This window comes from Homo sapiens, chromosome 14 (assembly GCF_000001405.40).
Source record: "Homo sapiens chromosome 14, GRCh38.p14 Primary Assembly".
In the NCBI taxonomy this organism is placed as follows: domain Eukaryota; kingdom Metazoa; phylum Chordata; class Mammalia; order Primates; family Hominidae; genus Homo; species Homo sapiens.
In genome coordinates this window covers 94,494,844-94,518,263 of record NC_000014.9, presented here as the reverse complement: position 1 = coordinate 94,518,263, position 23,420 = coordinate 94,494,844, and the positions used below count along the sequence as shown (strand labels likewise).

General features: G+C 47.1%; 1 protein-coding gene across 3 annotated transcripts in view; it reads left to right on the top strand.

The window, feature by feature from the left end:
• The first annotated feature begins 419 nt into the window (after nt 1–419).
• Nucleotides 420–23,420, top strand: part of SERPINA12 (serpin family A member 12) — a 30,566-nt gene continuing 7,565 nt past the window's right edge. The window contains exons 1-4 of one of the 3 annotated variants that reach the window (NM_173850.4): nt 420–863; nt 2,110–2,444; nt 19,850–20,500; nt 21,621–21,891. In NM_173850.4, coding sequence (NP_776249.1) covers nt 19,867–20,500; nt 21,621–21,891 — 905 coding nt within the window. In that variant the 5' untranslated portion in view covers nt 420–863; nt 2,110–2,444; nt 19,850–19,866. Of the gene's footprint in view, nt 864–2,109; nt 2,445–8,794; nt 8,923–14,041; nt 14,232–19,833; nt 20,501–21,620; nt 21,892–23,420 lie in introns of those variants that run through there. The other 2 variants (NM_001382267.1, NM_001304461.2) reach the window with 2 other exon arrangements.

Below are 23,420 nucleotides of genomic sequence, written 5' to 3'. Positions count from 1 at the left end.
ACTTGTGACTTTTCCCTTTCAAAGTGCTGTCTGTGATAAATGCCTGAAGCTGTAACTTCAGACATCGGCCGCTGGTGAATTATGAGCATTGGGATATTTTTGACATTTAATTTGATGTGCTTGCCAGGGACATGCTTTCATGTTCTTTTCTTTTCCCTCCTGCTTAAATGCAGGGAACAATGACAAAGTTCTCTCTTGCCAGTATTTTCCCATTTCCCCGTGAGAAAACCACAGGCTCCCCAGGAAGTTTGCTGAGCACAACTGCCCTTGGCTTTCCCCAGCCAGGGGCCACGGAGGCTTTGAACACATTCAAAGGGCCATTTCTTCCCCACACATTCCAATGCAGCCTTTCAGCCTGAACTATCTCTGGGAGACTGGAGGTGTCACAAGCTGGGAGGATCACTGGATAATTAGGGAGACTCCCAGGTGCCTGGCAGAGAGTCCTCACCAGCCCCCTGCCGGATGTCTGGCTGGCATCTGAGGGGACTGAACATGGCAAGAAGCAAAACAGCAGCACAAGAAACCAGTTTCTTCATCTGAAACCGAGCAGGCTCTACTCCAGAACAGAACCCACAGTCCCAGGCGCTGGGCCTTCTTCTTAAGTTGGGAAATCACTCATCCCCAGGAGAAAAAAAGAGCAAAAGCTTCCAGTACTGGGGATGTGGGGAGAGGTTTTTTAAAAATATCAGCCCAACATATGGGAAAATATGGGATGCAGGCATCCCCAGGTGTCAAGCGTCCAGATCCGTAGACACACTGGGACGATGGTGATCAGTATCACTCCCTCTGACTCATCGGCCCTACAGGGAAGACACCATGCTGGTGCACAGTCGGTGCCAAACCCGCGTTTGTAAATGAATAAGGTGAGTGAAGTTATAGAGGGAGCTAACCAGAAATCTAGGAGGTACCTCTTGTAGGGAAGAACCCAGGAAAGCCGCCATGCTTGCTTTGGGAGACAGAGGTGAGTAGCGAGAAGACGCTGCTGGCAAAAAGCCCCCAAAACACACATTTGAAACCCTCCACTGTGCTCCCTGCTGCGACAGGCACTGCCTGGGTGCAAGGCTGTGCTACACATGGTCCCACTGTCTGATGCCTGTGATAGAGTGAGGAAGTGACACTCACACACATTTATGCTGAGAGCTGTGGAACTACGTGTGGTCCTTGGCTGCTGGGACGCAGAGAGCCATGTGCTGTGCCCCCAAAGGGCAGTTTCGTTCACATTTATGGTCAGCAAGTTCACTGCTTTTCCCCCGAGGCTTTTTCCTCCCCCTTGGTATCCCTATTTTACTATTTTAATGTGTGTGTGTGTGCAATAGCTGCGGTGACACATGCAGTTTTTCCTTCCTGCCCTTCCTATAGAAACTGCCCCTCCCTAGGTGCCTGCCTGTGGGAGCTGTCATTTCATCACCTGTTCTACCCTGACCCCTGTGTTCAGAAGTGTTTGACCCAAACAGGGGCACCTGAACCAGGTTTGGATGGTCTGAGCCTTGGAATTAGGACCTGGGGTCAGAGAGTGCAAAGGCAATAGGTCTTGGGGACAGAAACTGTAAGGTATAAGCTTTGGAAGATGTTGGGGGTGATAGTTCCAGCCAGGTGTGTCAGTGTAGTGACGAATTCTCACCCTCTGTGGTTCCAGGTAAGAGTTGGCTACGAGAGAAAGGTATTTCTGGTTTGGAAGGCAGAAGTTAAGCAGGAACACTCTGAGGTTGGTGTGGGGTGCTAGGCGCTGCCCCCCTTCACCTGCTGGTGCACCTGGTGTTTGTGAACAGCATCTGTGCCAAGGGCTCTTCCAGCCCTCACCAGGCCTCCTCCTTCAGTTCTCCAGGTCTCAGGTCAGGTGAGGAACACCGGCCCCTTCCTCGAGTCACTGTGTCAGCCAGGCTGGAGTGACAGATGTGGGTTCTGGTCTGTCCTTTAAGCTTTGACCAGGCCTCATTCTGCCCCAACTCATACCCAGGTTTTCTTCTCCCTCCCCACCTGGCTGACCTGCAGAGGTTCTGGGCTGACCACCAGACCCAGGATGACAGCCTTCCACAGACTTCTCCCCAGCTCCCACCACTGGGAGACCTAATCCCTGCAGTAACCTCTATCTCATATCACTCTTTGCAGTGTTGCTGCCCTGGTGGAAGCCCAGCTCATGTGGAGGAAGCCAGCTTGCAGAGAGAGCAAGAACAGAGCCAGCACACACATTGGAGCAAAGGCAAGGGCAGATGGAAAGTTCTGGCGGCATCATGCCAAGGCTCCCATCCGAGGCCTCCCTGAACCCCACTCTCTCGGCGCCACCTTGGATGCTGCGGGCTGGTACATTCCCCACTTGCAAAACTCTGTGGGGCTGGGTTCCTCTCTTTTCTTTCCAAATATCCCAGGAAGTGGATGGTTTTATCCAAATTCAGCAGACGAGTAAAAAGAGTCTTCGGGAGGTGCAATAGCTTTCTAGGAATGAGGTAACTGGGAGCAGAGCTGGTGTTCAAACCCGGTCTGCTCAACTCAAAATCCACAGCATTTCCCTGCCCTGAAATGACCCACATCTGCACTGCTTGCCCGCATCTGCACTGTTTGCCCGCATCTGCACTGTTTGCCCGCATCTGCACTGCTTGCCTGCATCTGCACTGCTGGATTTTGGCCGTTTGAGTATCAGCTCCTTGAGCACAGAACCTGGCTGTCCCTGCCGTCCCCAGCTCCTGGAGCAGGGCCCAAGTGGAGCAGCATTTGCTGTCTGTGCAGGCACAGACCCTGGGATATGGGAACATGAGCGAGGCTCTGTAGGGCAGGCCTCCCCGTCCACGGAGATGCTGAGTGGGTGGCTCCCTGCTCCTTCACTGCCTCTAGATATGGGGGTTGGGGGAGGGGATGACACAGGTGAATTTGATTGCCTCTTGCAGGGGAGGGTGATGTAGAAACTCCGGGTTCCTCCCGTTTTATGGCCACCTTCTCCAGGAAGCCTTCCCGGACCACCCAGACAGCCCTAGGTCTTCCTGACACTCTGACTCTTAAATTCTCACCAAGCAGCAACCCCTTGTGATTCTGCTTCTCTTTCAGTCTATGGCTTGTCACTCCCAATCATCAGCCTCTCCCACAGAAACACGTCGCATAGTTTCAGGATCCCCCAGGCATGTCACCTTCAGGCCAACATTGGTAACCGTGGCCGTGCTGGCCCTTGGGGACCATCACTCCAGGCCTAGCACACCCTGACCCAGGTGTCCAACTCAGCCACTGAGTCAGGCCCAGCAGCAGGTGTGTGGCTGGTGGCTTTGGCCTTCTTTTCTGGCCAGACAGCACCATTTCTCCGGCCACCGTGGGTTTCCTCAGTCCGTGGAAGTTGGCCTCTGCCTCGGGGCCCTGATTCATTGCCTGTTCTCCCACTGGGCTGCAATCCTGTCTTGACATCCAGCCTAATCCTTGCCCACCTCCACACTCTCCCCTGCTGAACTGCACTCCGACCAGTGGCTGCAGAAGCCCTGAGTCAAATAACTACAGACTCAAAGCCCCACCACCTGCCTACCTCTGGCCACCAACTGCCACCACCTCAGAATTCCCTGGCCCTGCACTTCCTCTGAGTCCTTAGATCTGGGACATGGCCCAGACCAAGTCCCTGGAATAGACCCACTGGCTCAGAGAGCATCCGGCCCCAACTGCCGGACACCTACATGGACCCAATTGCACCCCACCCCCAATGCCCAAAGCAAGCCCTTTAGAGCCACCTCGAAGGGCCCACCCAGGTCCCCACCCGACCCCAGCCCTGCTCAGTTTGCCCACTTCTTGCATTGAGTTCTAAGGTTGTTCTCCCACCTCCACCAGCCATAACTAGGTGAGTCACAGCCACCAGGGGCTGGCAGAGAGTGCCCACCAGTAGCTGTGGCGTCCAGCTCTGTCACGTGCCTGCAGCACACGAGTCCCATCTGGCCTGGCATGCCCAAGGCTGTCAGCATGTGCCAGGTGGGAGATAGCTGTGGCTGGGAGGGGGTGGGTGTGGACACACTGGTGGCCCTTTGGGTTGCTGCCAAAAACAACCGTCTCTGTCATCAGTGCCATCACAAAATAATAATTAAAGTTATATGAGGATAAGAATAATAGTGATTGATAATAATAAAACAACAAGTCAGCCGCCATGGAGTACCTAAGCGGCACAGTCCAGGCACTGTCCCAGGGCTTTGCACGAATTATCTCAGCCTCTCGACAGTGGGGAGGTATGATTGCCCTAATTTCACAGGTGAGTAGGTTAAGACATAGATGTGCTGAGATGTGGGGTGGCCTTGGGAGTCTAGGCCCGCACCATGCTGCCCTTCTCAAACCCATACCCCTTCTCGGACTGTGAGGTCCCCAGGGAGCCACTGGAGCAACCTCCAGGCTGTTCATCCAAGGAGGGAAAGCATTTTTGGTCTTGGGAAGTGATGCAGAGGGGCTGATTGGCTGAAGTCCCACTGGTCAGGTTATTCTGGCATTTGGAAACACCACTGGAAGACAATAGCAGTTGTATGGTGTTTAGGTTTTCATCCCAACACCGCAGATTTCAAGCTGAGCACCCAGTAATTTTTTAAAAATTCATCCCAGAGTGGAGGAAAATGAAAGCCATTGGTCCAGCCCTTGGGGACCCCTGCAAAATTCCGAAGTCACAGAGCAGCCTGTGCATGGGCGGTTATGGTTTACACCACACCTTTTACAGTCACTACTTTAATTTATCCTCCCAATGGATTTCTCAAACATTTCCTCAGTTTTATGGGTGAGGAAATCAAGATCCTGAAAGATGAAGTAACTTGAGGAGGGTTGCACGGCTGGGAAACAGCAGCCATGGAGCCTGAATCCAGATTTTCTGTCTCTACATAGAATTCTCTATAGTCTTTTCCCGCTCTCAGGTCCTCCCGCTCTGCTTCAGATTCTTGAGTCTCTACTGTTTCTTGGTTTGTACTGCTTAGAGATATCTGATATCAGCCATTTGCATCTTTGTATTCTCTCTCTGAAAGTAATTGTCCTTCATTTTGTCTTGGATTATAAAGGCAGTTCTCTGTAAGAGGACTGTCTGGTATCAGCAAACAAGCCGTGGCAACTCAGAGTATGCCCTTGCAGATAAGGGTGACCTGCTTACCAGCCCACACTTGGTTTCTATCAGCCTGCTTTCGCTTATCCTGGAAGGAAAACTGAAAACCTGGATGACTGAAGGGAAACTTCCCTTCTTCCACCTGCATGGTGAGCCGTGGGATGGCTGCTTCCAGAGCTACCCTCGGTATCACTCCTCATTCTTATGCTAGTGGCTTGAGCTGGTAATAGAACCCACTGGGGAATGTGTGGAACATTCTTGGAGAATAGATGTGTGGGCTTGCGTATTTCTTCACTACGTCTTCTCTGTGACTTGGCCCTTTCCTTGGTCTTAAGTAGACAACCACTCTGTTTTCCCAAATTTCTGAAAGCTCAGAAATGAGCTTTTCCCATCCTTAACTATATAATAGCACACAAAATAGTCAGTAGTTAGATGTGAACAGATAACCCTATTTGGGTAACTACTGACTACCCATCCAAATTCCTCCTGAATTTCAAGGATCTCAGCCATCCTTAACATTTGATTTTTGCTGTCTGATCCATTCTTGATAACACATGTTTCATTTGAGAGGCAAGAATTGTCCTCCTGGGCTCCAGCAGTGTTAGGCACACAACACCCTCACTCTTGATGCTGGAGGATGAGAATGGTGAGCAGAGTGTGACTTGGATGAACAGAATCAGCTCCCTGTCATCATGTTTATCATTAGTAATGCCCATTAATAGTAATTAATTACTATTTTATTAACAACTATTATAACTATTGCTATGATTACTACTAATTAGTTTTAATTGATCCTCTCCACATGGGCCTTTGCATTTGATAGCACTGCTAACAATCTGATGAAATGAACAAAGCAGGTACTTCAGTAGTCCCATTGGGCAGATGGAAATACTGAGGCACAGAGAAGTGAGGTGACCTGGGTGAGGTGGCCCAGCTTGCTGTGGCTGTAGGACCTGTGCTCCGCCTCAATGTCACAATGCCCCCTGAGAGGGGACACGTGAGTGGGTGGGGGATGGAGCTGCGGCTTTTTTTGTTTGGAGGCCTTGATTTGATTCAATATCTGCCTCTCGTGGGTGCAAGTGGTGTTGAACTCACCCCTCCACAGAACTCTTGTTTTGTTTTGTTTTGTTTTTGAGATGGAGTATCACTGTCACCCAGGCTGAAGTGCAGTGGTGCAATCTCAGCTCACTGCAACCTCTGCCTCCTGGGCTCAAGCAATTCTCATGCCTCAGCCTCCCGAGTAGCTGGGACCACTGGTGCGAGACACCACTCCCAGCTAATTTTTGTATTTTTAATAGAGATGGGGTTTTACCATATTGGCCAGGCTGGTCTCAAACTCCTGACCTCAAGCAATCCACCTGCCTTGGCCTCCCAAAGTGCTAGGAGTACAGGCGTGACCCCCCAGTGTCTGTCCCTTCCCTGGTCTGTGAGCTTATGAGGACTTGTGTTATTTCTCTCTCCCCCACACCTGGCTTGCTGCCTGGTACATTATAGACATTCAATCTGCTTTTCAACTCAAGTTCTGCCTCTTTGGAAGGAAGCAGGAAAGGAGGATGAGGGAAAGGCAGGTGAGAGAGGTGGGTGGGACACCTTCCAAAGGAGAAGTCGAATGGCTCAGAGATGGAAAACTGAAGGTGGTGTCGGTTCCTGTTCTGGGCTGCACGAACCAACCCGACAAATACTAGAGTGAGCCATCCCAGGAGCCAGCATTTAACAGCCGCAGCCTTATGTGAGGCATGCAGACAGTTCCAGAATTTCCTTGATTTCTCCCAAAGTTTCTGCACTAGTTGTATCCACATATTTTTTTTCTGCTTTTATATTAAGAAATTCTTATGAAGCTGCACATCCATTAAATAACCGTGTGACATTTGACAGATGACTCACTATCCCAAACCTCAGCTTTCTCATCTGTATAGTGTGACAATGGTCCCTCACAGACTTGTAAGAATTAAATGTGTGTGTGTATATATATATGTGTGTGTGTGTGTGTGTACATGAGGTGTGCACAGAAGTACACATGCTGCTGAAATCAAATTGGTGGGCTACCTGAAAATGCAGAAAAACATTAAATTATGGGCTTTTTTGCAGTTTGCGATTTTCCTTCCATAAATATTTTTCTGAAATGCTCTTTTTAAATTTCAAGAGTTTTTGGGGTACAGGTGGTTTTTGGTTACTTGGATTAAGTTATTTAGCGGTGATTTCTGAGTTTTAGTGCACCCATCACCTGAACAGTGTACACTGTACCCAATATGTAGTTTTTTATACCTCACCACCCCCTCCCAACCTTCTTCCCTGAGTCCCCAAAGTCCATTATATCATTCTTATACCTGTGCTCACAGCTTAGCTCCCACTTATGGGCAAGAACATGCAATATTTGGTTTTCCATTCCCGAGTTACTTTAGTTAGAATAATGGCCTCCACCTCCATCCAAATTGCTGTAAAGGACATTATTTCATTCCTTTTTATGGCTGAGTGGTATTCCATGGTGTGTATATACCACATTTTCTTTATGGATTTATTGTTTGATGGGCACTTAGGTTGGTTCCATATCTTTGAAATTACGCAACATGTGTGTGCATGTGTCTTTTTCATATAATGATTTCTTTTCCTCTGGGTAGATACCCAGTAGTGGGATTGCTGGATGAAATGGTAGCTCTCCTTTTAGTTCCTTAAGGAATCTCCATACTGTTTTCCATAGGGGTTGTAGTAATTTACATTCCCACCAGCAGTGTAAAAGTGTTCCCTTTCACCACATTCATGCCAACATCTATTTTTTTTATTTTTATTTTTTACTTTTTAATTATGGCCATCTTGTAAGAGTAAGGTGGTATCTCATTGTGGTTTTCATTTACATTTCCCTGATGGTTAGTAATGTTGAGCAAATGCTCTTTTTTTATATCCTCTGTTGTTCTGCTCTTCTACCAGCATCTAGATCTGGCTTGAATGACATTTAGCACGGACTTGGGTCTATATTATTTTAAGTGAAATTGATTGACAGCATGACTTCCAATAGTTTGGCTCTCTCAGGCAACCACAGATCCAATGCAGTCTCCTATTGCCCATTGTACAGGTGAGTACACTGAGAACCAGAGGAAGGGATGGCTTCTCCAGCCACCAGGTGCATTATGAGTCACCTATGTCTGGTACCCAGACCACAGGCCCAGGCCCTGAGACGTCCCAGAGCTCGGGAGTGGGGTGGGGTTGGATGGATGGGCTGCCTGCTCCCAGGCTGCACCTGGGAGGTGAGAGAGGGCCATGTGAACATCTGTGCCAGGCGGCTGGTATTCTATAGCAGTGCCAGGGTGCCCACACCCATTCCTGTCCTGTCCCAGGGAAGGAATCTGGGGTGGACGATTCTGCTCAAAGATGATCACAGGGATCAGGGCTGTGGAGCTGGGAGGGGATGGCGTGTGTCACTCTGGTTTCTGGTGCACTCACTTTTATGAGGTTTACTGGGTGCCAAACACTCAGGTCCTAGCAAGCCAGGCCCTCATCAGTGAATCTACAGAGCACCTTGGGTGTACCTAGCACAGTGCCCCTTGCTATTTGGGATGGGAGAGAAAAAGTAGGCCTGATCTTTCCCAAGGGGTGAGGAAGGGAACTCCCAGACGCATTGCTCTCTGAGTGAGACACTTGGCAGGGCCAGTTGGCCAGGCTGATCCTGGGAAAGGGGTGGAGGTGGCAGAGGCAGGCTTAGTAGGTCGTTGGGCAGAAGTCCACCCAGTTTGTAGATAAGGCTTGTGGGGCTGGGAGCCTAGAGGAACATACCTGGAACCTGAAGGCTGCAGGACCAGGACCGAAAAAGGACTAGGAGGCTGGGATCAGCAACAACTGGGGAAGGCCAAGGAAGACTGACCTGAGGGGAAAGGAGAAACTGGGGAGGTGAGGTTAGTCCAAGGGGCAGTGTGTGTGTGTGTGTGTGTGTGTGTGTGTGTGTGTGTGTGTGTGTTGTCTGTTTCTCTGTCTTAGAGAAGACAACCAAGGGCCAAGGTGATCACTCAAATAGACAGACATTCTGCGTCCTTCTCATGCCTAGCCCTAGGGCTGGATCACCAGTCTGGCCAAGAGTTCCATGGGTCTGTGCTGGCTGCCAAGATGCTGTGGCCATGCTTTCATTTATGGTCTACCAGAAAGCTATCCATGGAAAAAGGGATTCAGAACCAGAAGACCTGATTTTTGAGTCCTGAATCTGCTAACTGTGCAGCTATAGGAAACTCAGATTTCTCATGTGTAAAAATGGGTCTAGCAGCACCCAAACTTGCAAAGTTGGTATGAAAAATACATAATGTCTATGAATAACCGTATCTACTAATATGTGCATGGAAGTACCCTGTTCTGCAGAGACAAAGACAAAGAAGAAAATAAGATGAGGAAAATCAAAGCTGGCCCCCACCCACAATGTTTCAATGCATATTTACCCAAATTTTTTACTTTTTGCTGATTGAGAAACACATGTGGTTACTTATTGATATATATAAGAACTCTTAATTGTTAAGAACATTAGCTCTCTATCTTGTACACATGTTCCAATTTGTGATTCCAAATTTTACATATTCTGTAGAGTTTTAACACGTTGCAAAAAGATGGTATATCCATATATGCCATCTTTTCCTACATGGTTTCTGGCTTGTGTATCACACTTAGGAAGTTCTTTTTCACTCTAACATTATGAAAAGGTTTTATTCCAACACTTGTAATTTTATTTTTGAAATGATTTGTTTGTTTCCTAATAGCATTTATGGAATTGTTCACCTTTTCTCGAATGTTCTGAAATGCCATCTTGAATTTTTTACTATTTACAGAATGCTTCCCATTAAAAAAAAATTTTCTAAATTTTCTATTTCTCTCCTTTTATTTCTTACTTGTTTAGATTTTTGTGTGGAAAGATTTTCAACATTTTGTACTAGAAGCTTTTTAGGGTAACCTAGGATCTTACCGGAGATTGCTTAAAAATATTTTCTTTCAAAATCAATTATTATTAATTTTAAATCATTTATTGATTAAGCTCCCCAATTGGAGTTGAATTCAATGACTGAAAATACATTGCATTTACTCAGTCTTTGCCTTATTGCTTGGAGGTACAGTATAATTTGTTCTAGTGGGATTTGGGCTTTGCAGTGTTTCACACTCTTGGTCACTGGCTCCCATAGCTGTCTGTCACAAGCATCAACTGGGGATCCTGTGGAAACCAAAGAAGAGTGGGGACACCCAGGGAAATGCAAAGTATGATCTGGGATGGTGGCCAGGAATCTCTTTCTCTCTCTCCCTTCTCTACTATAAATGGACATCTGGGTTGTTTCCACTTTAGGTCTATCACATAAAGCTGCTATGGACATTGCAGTACATGTCTTGGTAAACCCACAAGCACTCATTTCCTGTTGGGCATATACCCTGAGGTACAATGAATGGGTCAAAGGGTAAGCATATGTTTACCTTTTATAGATCCTGCCAAGCAATTTTCCAATCAACACGTTGGTGTCGGTTTGCACACCCACCCGCAATATAAGAGAGTTCCACTTGCTCCACGTCCTCGTGTGGCTGGTCCTTTTAATCTGAGCTATTCTAGTGGGTGTGTAGTGAGTTCTTCTTGTAGTTTTGTTTTGCATGTTTCTGATGATTAATGATGTCGAGCACCTTTTCAGCTGCTTATTGGCCATTTGGATATCTTCTTTTGTGAAGTATTTGTTCATGTCTTTGCTTAGTTTTTAAGTTGTTGTCTTTTTTCAGTCGATTTGTAGAAGTGCTTAAAAACAGGCATGAGCCTTTTATCAGACACAGACATTACACGTACCACTCCCAGCTTGTGACTTGCCTTTGTACTGTCCTAGGTAATTTTAGAGGAACAAGGCTCTTAATGTTAATGAAGTTCCATTTATCATTTTGTAAAAATGGTTAATACTTTCTGCCTATCTCATGGTCACAAAGATTGTCTACTATTAATATATTTTCTTCTAGAAGCTTTATCATTTTGATTCTTGTGGGTTTTGAGGTTAAAAAATATTAAAGACCAATAGTTTCATATAGTCCAATCTAATACCTTTCACATTTAGGTCTGTGACTTCTCAAATTAATTTTTGTATGTTGAGTAAAATAGTCACTATTTATATTTTTCCTGTATGGACATCCACTGGTGTTTTGTTGTTGTTGTTGTTGTTTTCATCATTCATTGAAAGGATCATCCTTTCCTTTGAACTGTAGCGATGCCCTTGTCACATATCAGGTGACTTCCTGTGTGGCTCTGTTGGATTCTCTAGTCTGTTCCATTGGTCAGCTTGTCTGTCTCTGTTCCAATACCTTAATACTGTGGCTTTACAGCCATCTTGATACCTGGTGGCTGAATGCTTTAAAAGACCTGGGAATCATCAGGTGGGAATCACTTGCTTTGGAGTGGGATTCTCAACCTTGAGTACTCATTAAATCCCCTGGAGAGAAGTTCTTAAAGGCACCCTCACCCAGGATTTATCCTGCATCAACTAACTCAAAATCTCTAGAGGAATGTTCTGAAAATAGGTATTTCTAAAGCTCCTGGATGATTGTAATGCACTCCCAGGATGGAAACAACTGCTTTAGAAATAGGTTATTCCCATTTTGCAATTAAAGAACCAGAAGCCCAAAGTCACATATACAATTTCTGGAGGCATTAGATTGTTCACTCACTTTCTCCAGGATGCAAAATCCTTGATATACTTCTCTTGCTCTCAGTTTTCTCCTAGAGAACACCTACTTATCCTTCAAAACCCAGCTTAAGAGTGCCCCATCTATGACACAGTCCAGAGCACCCCAGCTAGGATCAGGTGCCTCTTGTGTGTTCTCACCTCCCAGAGTTACCTCTACCTTGGCCCTTACCTAGTGTGACTTGTATCTCTGTGTTCTGTGTTCCCATCAGACCAGAGCTCTTGGAGTTAGGGTGTGGCATGGTCACTAACATGTTTCTTCCATCTGGGAGATCCAAAGAGTGAGGATGAGGACCAGAAATTCCTAGCTCCCCTCTCACCCCTACACATGGCAATAATGTAAAAAATATTCAGGCCACCCCTCAGCCTCCGACCAGTGCCTTAGGCCCATTAACTTATAACAATAATCTTCCCAGGCTGGACAATCTCCTTCATCCTTCTAGCCCCTGATGAACACCAGGCACAAATCCATGGGACCTGAATCTTAACTACAGGCAGTCGGGGCAGCCTCAAGTCTAGGCTGAGGTCCCTTAATGGGCACGTGAAGGGGGCTGCTCCCTCCCATGCCTATATCCTTCACTGCTCTCCACAGACGTGCACCTCCTCCGGGGCTCTTTTCCCCAGGCAGGACAGGCAACTCCCAACCCAGGTGTAGCGCCTGGCTGGCCGGCAGCCCACCTGTGGCTACCCTCTGCCCATGGCCTACTGGCCTCTGGCACTGTCTGAACTCAGGCATCCCCAGTGCTGCCCGTGTCGCTCAGTGGGCATCCCTACCCTGGCCTCTTCCTGCATGTCTCCCGTGGAAATTTACCCTGGAGCAGAGAGTGTCTGGGGCAGGCAGGGAGGCATGGCCCTCAGACTCACACAGGCCTCACCCTGTCATTAGAGGGCAGGTTTTCCCTCCCAAACCAGATGTACAGACCTGGATTCTGGGTCAGTGTCCACCTCACTGGCTCTGATCTTCCACCACTATAGCCTCTACAGTCACAATAGGACCACCTGTACTCCTTGGTCTCAGCCTGTCCTTCTGTCTCCTCTGCAACCCCTTGGTGACCAGAGCCGGCCAGTGTGAAGTCTCTCATCTCGCCGTTCACATGGTGTCTTTGACCCATGCATCCCAGCAGGCAGGCCTTGCTGCCTGGGCGAGGGAAGGTGGTGGCTCAGGGGCATCTTCAGGGGTGGTTTCTGATCTGGGCAGCTCTGGAACCCATATCCCCATGTCCTTGTTCATCTAGGCCCTGAGTGCATAGAGTCTGTGGCTGAACCAGGCCTGGGAATGAACTAGTGTCTCCTCTTTCCAAGAAGGTTTGTCTGGGTCACCTGCTCTGAATAGCTCTGGGAATGAGAGTCATGTCTTTGCTAAAAGCAGCAACCCAAAGGAAGGGAAAACAACACCCATGGCTCTTCCGAGGCCTCCGAGGTGTTTCGATCAGATACGACCTACTGTGAAACACCACTCAATGGGGAAGAAATATGTGAATGTTTTTTCTGCTCACTGGAGCTCATTAGATTAAGCAGAATTGAAGATAGGCATGTTGAGCTTATTGCTCTTCCATCCCAGCATCAGTGGGTTTGGAATGTTCCCAGACATCTTCAATGCTTCTCTCTCCAAGTGGTAAAACTGAAGATAAGAATTTTATTTTATTTTATTTTAAGCCTTTGAAAAATTAATCCTAAAGTAATATCTGTTTTTTAAAGACAATTTGGAAAATATAGAAAAGTAAGGGGGAGGCAGAGACAACAGAGTTCAGCCATAGTCTCATCACCCCAGCACAAGAGAACCCAACCATAGTCTCACCACTCCAGCACAACAAATGTGCAATAGGAAAACAATTTGTAATTTCCATGATCATGAACTTTGAGGTGAATTTTTAATTCCTGTTCTTCCTAACGGAATCTACGCATTTAGTTGTCTATTTGTCTGTCCTCGAACTTTTTCCCCAAAGGACTCCATGTGAGCTAAGCTAATTTGGAACACATGAAAAAATAGCAAAAGAAAATGGTGAGGGATACATGGGAATGACCCCAAGAAGCCCAGTTATCAACCTGTTCCCATGGGCAGCAATGATGATACTTGGGTTGAATATTCAGTATTAGGACTCTAGGCTCATCTACTTGTAGACTATTCTGGCTTCCATACCCAGAGAGCAACTGGGAAATAGAGTCGTTGCAAAAGGTGTCTAGTGGACTTCATTAGGGAAGCCACAGCCCAGTGGGTGTGGCCGGTACGATATCATGCCGCTGCCTCCACAGGGAGAGCTCCCAGGGAGGTGGTGTGGCCATTGCTTCCAAAGCCTCCATCACCTGCCCATACACGCCAGCTCATTGTATTGGCCTTACTCTTCCAAGAGGCCATGGAAGTATAAATAATAAAGCAAGAAAGGCAGATGCATTTGGCTGGCTCAGTGGACTTCTGAATGTACTGTGAGTATGAGACCTTCCCTTCCAAAAGATCCGGTGCTTCTTGTCTATTCCACACGAAGCTTGCTTCAGATCGAGGGAGGATGTAGCACTGTCCACAGGTGGGTGTATGAAAGGAAAATTCTAGAGGATCTCCAAAATCCAGGTAAACCCCTCTTGAAGAATTTGTTGAACATCTTTGGCAGAGTGTTATGGATGTCTACTGCCCAGTGCTTTTCTAGAGAGAGAAGCTTCATGAATGTGGGGATGGGAGAAGTCTTGGGACATAAGTGGTGCCTCCAATTTGGGTCCACCCCTGCTGCATGATGCTGGCCACAGTCATCCTTGTGTGTGAGCTGTTTGTGAATCTTTATCTCTCTCTGAGGATAGAGGCTGGATCCATCAACTCACTGGTTCATGGAGAAAGTGAGGCGAAGCAGCCTGTTCAATGCATTTCTGCAGAATTGCCTTCACCACTGATGCACACTGCAACCACAATCTCTTCCTTTGTCCACTCTGGGCCTCATTTCCCTCTTTATGGCACAGATAGTCCTGAAGTCAATGATCTCTCAGCCTTTCCAACCCACATACCCCTCCTCCTAGAATGCAGTCACGGAAGGGGAGGAGGACCAGGTCAGGCAAACAGCTGGAAGGTTCTTGAGGGTTTGGAGAAGGCTGTGGGGCTTGTTGGGCTGAGAGTCAGTCTGCAGCATCAATATGGACCATTTCCTGGGCATTGCTCTAGTGCCCCAGTGCCTGACACAGAGTGAGGACTCAAACATATTTCTTAAGGAATGAAGGCAGAAATCTACAGGGCAAATTAACAAGTGGAATGGGGACATGTTCTCCACTCTTTGTTTTCCAGAAAGGAGGAGAAAGTATATTGCTGTGGTCATCAGAGTTTGTTTATGGGGCTTCTCTTACTTCTAACAGGGGAGAGAAGATATGTCTTACCACCACTTAGTTCTAAATGTGCTTTTAAAAATAATAATTTAATTTCTGATGTATATAGAGTGATTTCTTCTTAAAGCAATATCAGTCCTTTAAAACAGGTGAGCCACAGAGCAGGCCTGAAGTGGCTCTTCAAGTGCAGGGCTCTTGTGAGGGTCTTCTGTTGGGAGGCCAAGGCACACCTTTAGCAAGGATTCCTCAGATTTCTCAGCCCAAAGAAGGGCACCGGGTTTACCCAAGTGCTGCACATTCCAAGAGGCGCTCAGAAAAGGTTCTGAGGAAAGGTGGCATCTCAGAGGGCCTGGGGTTCCTGGGGCAGGAAGGGGTTTCTGGGGCAGGAAGGGGTGTCTGGTGCATGCAGCCAAGTGTAGGAAGCATCTCCCCGATGAGGAGGCAACACACTGGTTGCCTGAAGCTCGCTCTGTTGGTTCTCAAGACATGGGAACTTGTCCAAAGCATTCTAAACTTTTTGGTCTCATTGGCTTGAGGAAGGATATTACATCAACTCTTTCTAGCCAGTCAGTTTCATCCCAGGGAAGAGAGGTAGGGTGGTCAACTATCAGGAGAGGAGTGACCTGCCTGGGGGCAGGGGGAGTTCTCTCTAAAGAAAACTGTGGTTCCAAACCACTGTGCACTGAGTAGACCTTCTGTAGCCTGTGTGTGTTATCCCTGTTTAGGTATCATTTCTTCAAACTGTGGTGATAACGGGGGAAGCGCTTTGTAAAATTAGAAATATTATTATTGTTGAGTCTGCTGTCACAGCTCACTGTTGCTTCAGTTGGCTGATCGGGACGGTGTGGGAGGTGGAAGCAGTGCCCTCCCACAGGGAAACCCCTTCTCGTGTAGACTTAAGCCGCCTATGCTACCTGTGCGGACGCTTCCCATCTGGTTTGGATCTGTCTTTAGGATGAATGACTTCCGGGTCAGTGAGGCACTATTTTATCTAGTCATAAGAGGAGGAAATTATTTTTCCAAATTAATAGGGAACATGGGAGCAGGATGATCAGAGAATTGAAATACTGACTATAGCTTCATGTGTCCCATGTGTACCCCATGGGGTTCGGTTTCTATCTTGTTCTTTTTTTTTTCTTGGTTTTGTTTTAGTTTTATCTCTTTATTTATTTTGAGTCACAGCCAAACACACACAGATACACACACACACACACACACACACACACATTCCAAACTAAAAGCCAACAAACAATTGCTCAACTCAGGAGAGCAACCTATCAATTGATTGGGAAATAACCAGTTGCTCAGCTATTTTAATTGATGGAATTAAAAAATTAGCCTACTCAGGCATCTAACCCAACTGACAAATTTGGGTCAGTTTAAAGCCCGTGATGACAGATGGAAAGGCCCGGAATGGGGCTGGTGTTGGCTGTTTGGGGGAGAAAGGCCAGATGTTCGCACTCAGGGAGCCAGGGCAGGAGGCCCGGTGGAGACTGCTGTGACACAGGCATGCTGAGGTGGGAGGGTGCTGAGACCCCACCAGGCCAGGGTGTGGGCTGTGTCCCTTGGGGCGGGGGTGGGGGGGCGGGGAGGTGGTGGCAGTGCCACCTGATCAGCAGTATCTCATGGGGGAAGAAACCAAATTATCACCACCTCCCCCTCATTTAATAGATGAAGATACTGAAAGCCTGAAGGGTGAAGAGACTTGCATCAAAACACCTAACAAACACACAAGTTGGGGAGGACCGCTATCCAGACCTGGAATTCCATAATCCGTTCTTGTTTCTGAAACTTGACAATGTTTAGGGATCAGTGACTGAACATCACTGTAAAGCTGTGCGTGCCACAGAGTGTTCCCAGGATGGTGCTTTCTGTGGGTTCCTTCCCTGCTCCAGCCCTGCCCTGCCCGGCCTCCTCCAAGGCTCCTGCCAGGCTGCTGGTTTCACCGCTGCTGAGAATGTTTTCTCAGCTCAAGGGACATGTCTTAACTTCTCCACTCCTAGGCACTGGGAACTTGCGCCCACTCTGAATAGCAGAAGCTTCTATTTTTAATCCAGGCAGCCTTTGTAAACAGTGCAGCCCCCTAAACCCTGAAATGGACTCCTTCCTATTTTCTTTTGTTTATCTGAAGCATTCTTGGGAATTTTACTAATTTCTCTTCTACAATCTGTTTTCAGCAGCCCATAGAGCCCTTGTTCATCACCAGCTGTTATTAAGTTTTACCAAGAAGTGGTTTTTGGGGGTAGAAGGTGCTTAGAGAGCACCCAGGTTCAGAGAGGGAAGTGCTTTCTGGAATGTCACACAGCTACGAAGGCATGAGAGCAGAGCACAGAACTCCTGCCTACTTAGTAGTCCTGGCGTTTTAAAAAATATGTATCTGCCCGTATTTGTGAGGATGTTTTTGGCTTCAAGGAAGTGACCATGTAACTCAACGTCACTGGGGGTCCAGAGGCAAGGTGGGCTCTGGGTTCAGCTTTTTCCATGGACCCAGCCCCGGTTTCTCTTAAGAGCCCTTGGATGCATCCTCTTTGTGCTATGGCTTTGTCTTAGAGTCACTTCCCTCACGGGGCAAAGTTGCTGTTAGTCCCTGCCTGCCGTGCCTTCCTGCCCAGGACATCCCAGGAAAGAGACAGGCCAGCACCCCAACATTCCAACAAACAGTCTTGAAATCCTCCCTCATTGCACCCCTTAAGCCACATGCCCCTCCCTAAACAAGGATCAGGGCAGAAATTCCCGCCTGCACTGATTGGATTAGGTCTGGCTCCTGAACCAACCAGTAGCAGGAGAGTTGAGATGCCCCTGCACCAATCAGGCCCTCCCTTGGAGCTGGGAGGGGCTTGTGTCCCTGAGGCACATGGGCTGCCTGAGAGAAGAGTATATTATTGAAAAGAAGAAAAAGAAAGAGAAGATGAGGAGAAGAGGATAAGAGGAGAAGAAGGCGAGGAGGGGAAGAGGAGAAGAAAGAAGAAGAGGATCTATTGGGAAGCTGGGAGAATGGATGCTGAAGGAGCAATGAGCAGTATTCACTAGAATTTTCCAATACTATACTACAAACTCCTTGAAGACCTTTGTTGTGATCAAGGCTCTATCCACAGTGCTTGGCGTAGAAGGATTTGGACATGAAGAACCTGGGAACTGGGGACACTCCTAGGTACAGGCCCTGCCTGGTGTTCATTCATCTGCTTATTCAGCCAACCAGAAAGAGCCAGGCATGGGAGTTTAGCTGTGCAGACCCCGTTGGTGGCTGACCCAGTTCCCTTTTGCTGGTGCTGCTGTGAGGGTTGCCTGCTGACAGCTCACAACTGCCCTCCCCTCTCCAGAAAATTGTCCTTGGCTGATAAGACCTAACTGACCCAGTTATGCACCATGACCTGCATCCAGAGGACAGATCACAGCCACCAACTGACCGATTCTATCCAAAAGGCCAGCCTGGAGAGCCCTCCCACTGTGGACCAGGCCAAGGCTAGATGTCACCTTGGCTCCTTCCCTTTTCCATCCCACTTCCCTCACTTCCCTACAGGGAAGACAACTGCCTCAATACATAACATGCACCTAAATCCCCATCTCAGGTTCTGCTTCTAGGGAACCCAATCTAAGACAACCATGAAAAACCTTTACTGTGGACAGGCTGACTATTACCCACAGATTACAGACATGTAAGATATAAATTACAGGAAGAAAGCAGACTAAATGATATAACAGATGACCAAGCAAAGAAATCTGCCTTCGTTTTACATATAAATGGGTGTGACCATCACTGACAGTAGTATGTCCAACCAGAGAAATCAATAAGCTTTTTAGGCCAACATGCTTTTAGCATCTCTCTGCAGAATTAGGGCTGGAGATTAAGGGAAAACGTAGCTAAAAGTCTTGTCTCCCAGAAGCTCACAGTGGCCGTTGGAAGATGTCAAAGCTGAGAGGTGGATGAAAGGAGCAGCAGTCCAGAGCCAGGCAGACCTGGCTGTTCCTCTCCCATGGTGCCATCCTCTTCCCTCCCTGGGAAGGGTGTAGGGAAGAAGGTTTCCTGGAGATCTAAGTCCTCCTGGAATGAGTATCCACCACCTAGAGAACATATGAGCTTAAACAAAGAGCTTGATCTCTGTAAATTAGTCATAATTCTTTTGGCTGAAGGGGAAAAATTTACCTCAAACCAGCCAACTCTAAAAGGGAAATTTATTGGCTTTCATAACTTGGAAACATGGAAGTGGGTAGCAAACTGAGTTAAAGGTTAGTCCAGGGTCTCCAAAGATGTCATCAGATGTGTCAGTCCATTTCTGTCTTTCCACCTCCCTCTATCACTCTCCTCTCCTTCTACATGTGGAAACCATGGCCACATTCAGCTCCAGGGCTACTTCACAAAGCTAGCTGCCCCAAAGCTTAGGGGGTTTTGCATTCCCTTAGAAAGACACTGAGAGGTCTGATTTTGGTCCACACTCTCATCTTTAACCAGCCAGTGTGGCAAAGGAATGAAGTATTATGATGGTAGGTCTGGGCCATATGCCTACACTACGGGGTATCCTCACTGTGGTCCAATGGAGGGAAGGAGAGCTGTTCCTCAAAGGAATTGAGACACTGTTTCCATAAAGAGGGTACAAAAACAAGAGTTGTCTTCTACATTCAGTCCTCCTATTTACAAAGTGTAGAAGTCATTTCTAGTCCCCAGGGTGATTATAAAGTTTAAATGCTATAAAGGGGTCAAAGCACTCATAAACTGCTATGTACAACACATAATAGTCACTGTATTTCTTCTTTCATCTGGTCTTCCTCTGGGTAACATGTAGGCAATGGGGTTATCATGTTCTTTTTTTCTGCTGACCTCAGGTCTACTACTCAACAGGATATTCTTCAAGGAAAATGAACCCCACACTAGGCCTGGCCATTTTTCTGGCTGTTCTCCTCACGGTGAAAGGTCTTCTAAAGCCGAGCTTCTCACCAAGGAATTATAAAGCTTTGAGCGAGGTCCAAGGATGGAAGCAAAGGATGGCAGCCAAGGAGCTTGCAAGGCAGAACATGGACTTAGGCTTTAAGCTGCTCAAGAAGCTGGCCTTTTACAACCCTGGCAGGAACATCTTCCTATCCCCCTTGAGCATCTCTACAGCTTTCTCCATGCTGTGCCTGGGTGCCCAGGACAGCACCCTGGACGAGATCAAGCAGGGGTTCAACTTCAGAAAGATGCCAGAAAAAGATCTTCATGAGGGCTTCCATTACATCATCCACGAGCTGACCCAGAAGACCCAGGACCTCAAACTGAGCATTGGGAACACGCTGTTCATTGACCAGAGGCTGCAGCCACAGCGTAAGTTTTTGGAAGATGCCAAGAACTTTTACAGTGCCGAAACCATCCTTACCAACTTTCAGAATTTGGAAATGGCTCAGAAGCAGATCAATGACTTTATCAGTCAAAAAACCCATGGGAAAATTAACAACCTGATCGAGAATATAGACCCCGGCACTGTGATGCTTCTTGCAAATTATATTTTCTTTCGAGGTAAGGCTTTTGGCATGTTGGTGTGGAAAGAATAGGATGACCACTAGACTTGGGTTAAAAACCTGGGTTGGCCACTTGTTTACTCTGTGACCTTGAATTCATATGTGATTTATCTCTCAAAACCTCACTTTTCCTATCTGTAAAATGGTTACCATGATACATAACTCATACAGTTATTGAGATTTAAAGTGAAAATGTATGTGAAATGAGCTTTATGAAGTCTATCATTTTCATTATTGGTGATTATCCTAACACAACATTGGTTATAGAGGTTGGAATGACATTTTGTTCCCATCACTTAGATGAGAAAAAAAAATCAGAGTGAGATTAACTGACTTACTCCAAGTTACAAAGCCCATCATTGACAGTCAGGACTGGAACACATTTCTCCTGGCCCTAGCACTGTGTGCTTTCCAGCACTTTAAGCAGACACCTGAGATGGTGATTGTGTTGATTATGGTGATGGTGATCACTTGGTGGGTCTCCTTATGTATGTATTATATAAATTCTCCTTATCAGACTTTATATATTTCCCAGATCTGATGGAGAGAGACAGAAAAAAAAGATGGAAGAATGTTTCCAATTTCAACTTTATCCCCCAACACCACACAGAACACATGTACACAAACAGGTTGGCCAAAATAGGTGAGAATCAGAGGCCAACACCCATCAGTCCAGACAAAATCACTGCTGGAGTGTCAGGAACATGGTACTAAATATAAAAAATTGAGGGTTCTCAAAATCCACAGGCAGATTGATGGCTAAAGAAGAGTCTACTCACATCAGACTCAATTAGCCCTCATTAATTGTAATGCAGTCCCCTCTGTTAGGACATAATCAGTGGGCTTTCTCAGGCTTAGGGGAACCTGAGCTTATGGTAGTCTTCTTTTCCCCTCTTAATTTGGCAGTCTAGTCCTGGCTTCTTTGGGAACTAATAATTGCACCTGAGCCCATATCATCAGAAATCTCCAGGACATGGCATGAGGGCAAGGACTTCCCTGATATCCCGGAATATCCCCTTTCACCCTGAATCTGTGTGGAGAGAGACTACTGGTTAGTTGGATTTAGTCACCTTTTTTCCCTTGGGATAACATGTCTGTTTGTCTTTCTTCAATCTAAGCCAGGTGGAAACATGAGTTTGATCCAAATGTAACTAAAGAGGAAGATTTCTTTCTGGAGAAAAACAGTTCAGTCAAGGTGCCCATGATGTTCCGTAGTGGCATATACCAAGTTGGCTATGACGATAAGCTCTCTTGCACCATCCTGGAAATACCCTACCAGAAAAATATCACAGCCATCTTCATCCTTCCTGATGAGGGCAAGCTGAAGCACTTGGAGAAGGGATTGCAGGTGGACACTTTCTCCAGATGGAAAACATTACTGTCACGCAGGTAAAGTGGGTGCCTAGCCCTCGCAGCTTTTTCCTTCTCTTGTCTTCCCTCTTATTTCTGCTGTCTGAGCTCTTACCTCATGGCCAAGTCCTCTTCTGGGCTCTATAATAAACTTATATCATGGTGAGAATTAGACTGGGGAACAAATCATAGGAATAGAGTGAAGTGCCTGGCTCTTTGAGGGAGATTCATCAAGACTGTGAGGGCGCAGTAGATGGAGTCTTACTGGAGGGCGGTGGTCAGGGAGGACTTCATAGAGGAGATAGCATTTGAGCCAAGTCTTCAAGGGTGAGTGGCAGTCTGTATGAAAGGGTGAGGAGCAAAGGAAACTGCAAGGACAAACACGGGCTGTAAAAGAGAGCTGTGAGTTGTGAGTAGAATGATGTTGTCAACTGTGGTGTCACAACAAAACCCATGAAGTATCCAAAGTAAGTTATACAAATAATAGTTGAAGAATAAAAGAGAGTAAATATTTTTCTTTTTAAAACATAAACTGATATTAGATTAATGCTAAGCCTACAGAATTCCTCCCAGGCACTTGCTTACTGATAGATTTTGGGGGAAAAGGTAAGAGTTGGTGTTGGGTTTAAGTCTTGGGGACTTAGTGTCAGCGTGGACATACATAGTGCCTTGAAAGTGGCTGGGCTAGTGGCCTCTAGTAGCCAGAGCAGTGAAGGGGATGTAGCAGAGTGGGCAGTTTCCACTTGGACAGGTGTCAGATGTCCTCTTCTCTGTTCTCTTTCCCTCTTCCACCTTGTCCCTGTCATCATTCCCCATGCATCTCCATAAAGGTATTTACTAAGAACCTCTGCCACACCTAACGTCCTGTCAGGCACCAAGGACGGTACCAAGAGAGGTACAGATGATGCTAGGACTGAGCTTAGTAACCCATGGGTGGTAACTGAACTGATGCAACTCTTTTCATGCAGAACACTGTCTTGGAGGCATTCCAGAATGCATCTCTTATATCTAGAGTGAGCTGCAGACTTAAGAAAGGGAAATTCTGGCCGGGCGCGGTGGCTCACGCCTGTAATCCCAGCACTTTGGGAGGCCGAGGCGGGCGGATCACGAGGTCAGGAGATCGAGACCATCCCGGCTAAAACGGTGAAACCCTGTCTCTACTAAAAATACAAAAAATTAGCCGGGCGTAGTGGCGGGCGCCTGTAGTCCCAGCTACTTGGGAGGCTGAGGCAGGAGAATGGCATGAACCCGGGAGGCGGAGCTTGCAGTGAGCCGAGATCCCGCCACTGCACTCCAGCCTGGGCGACAGAGCGAGACTCCATCTCAAAAAAAAAAAAAAAAAAAAAAGAAAGGGAAATTCTGATTCCGAATGCTTCCAATTAAGTCATGGTACTGGGATGGAGGAGCCAAGTAGCAGAGCATCCCAAGAGCGTTGCCATCCCTTGAGATCTGCATAGTCTCACCTGCCCTTCCCACTGGGAACCAGGGAGGTGGAAGGGTTGGCAGAGTCTGGCCACTGAAACAAAAGGAGGGGTCCAGGTTACAACCTTTAGCTGAGACCTGGTCTT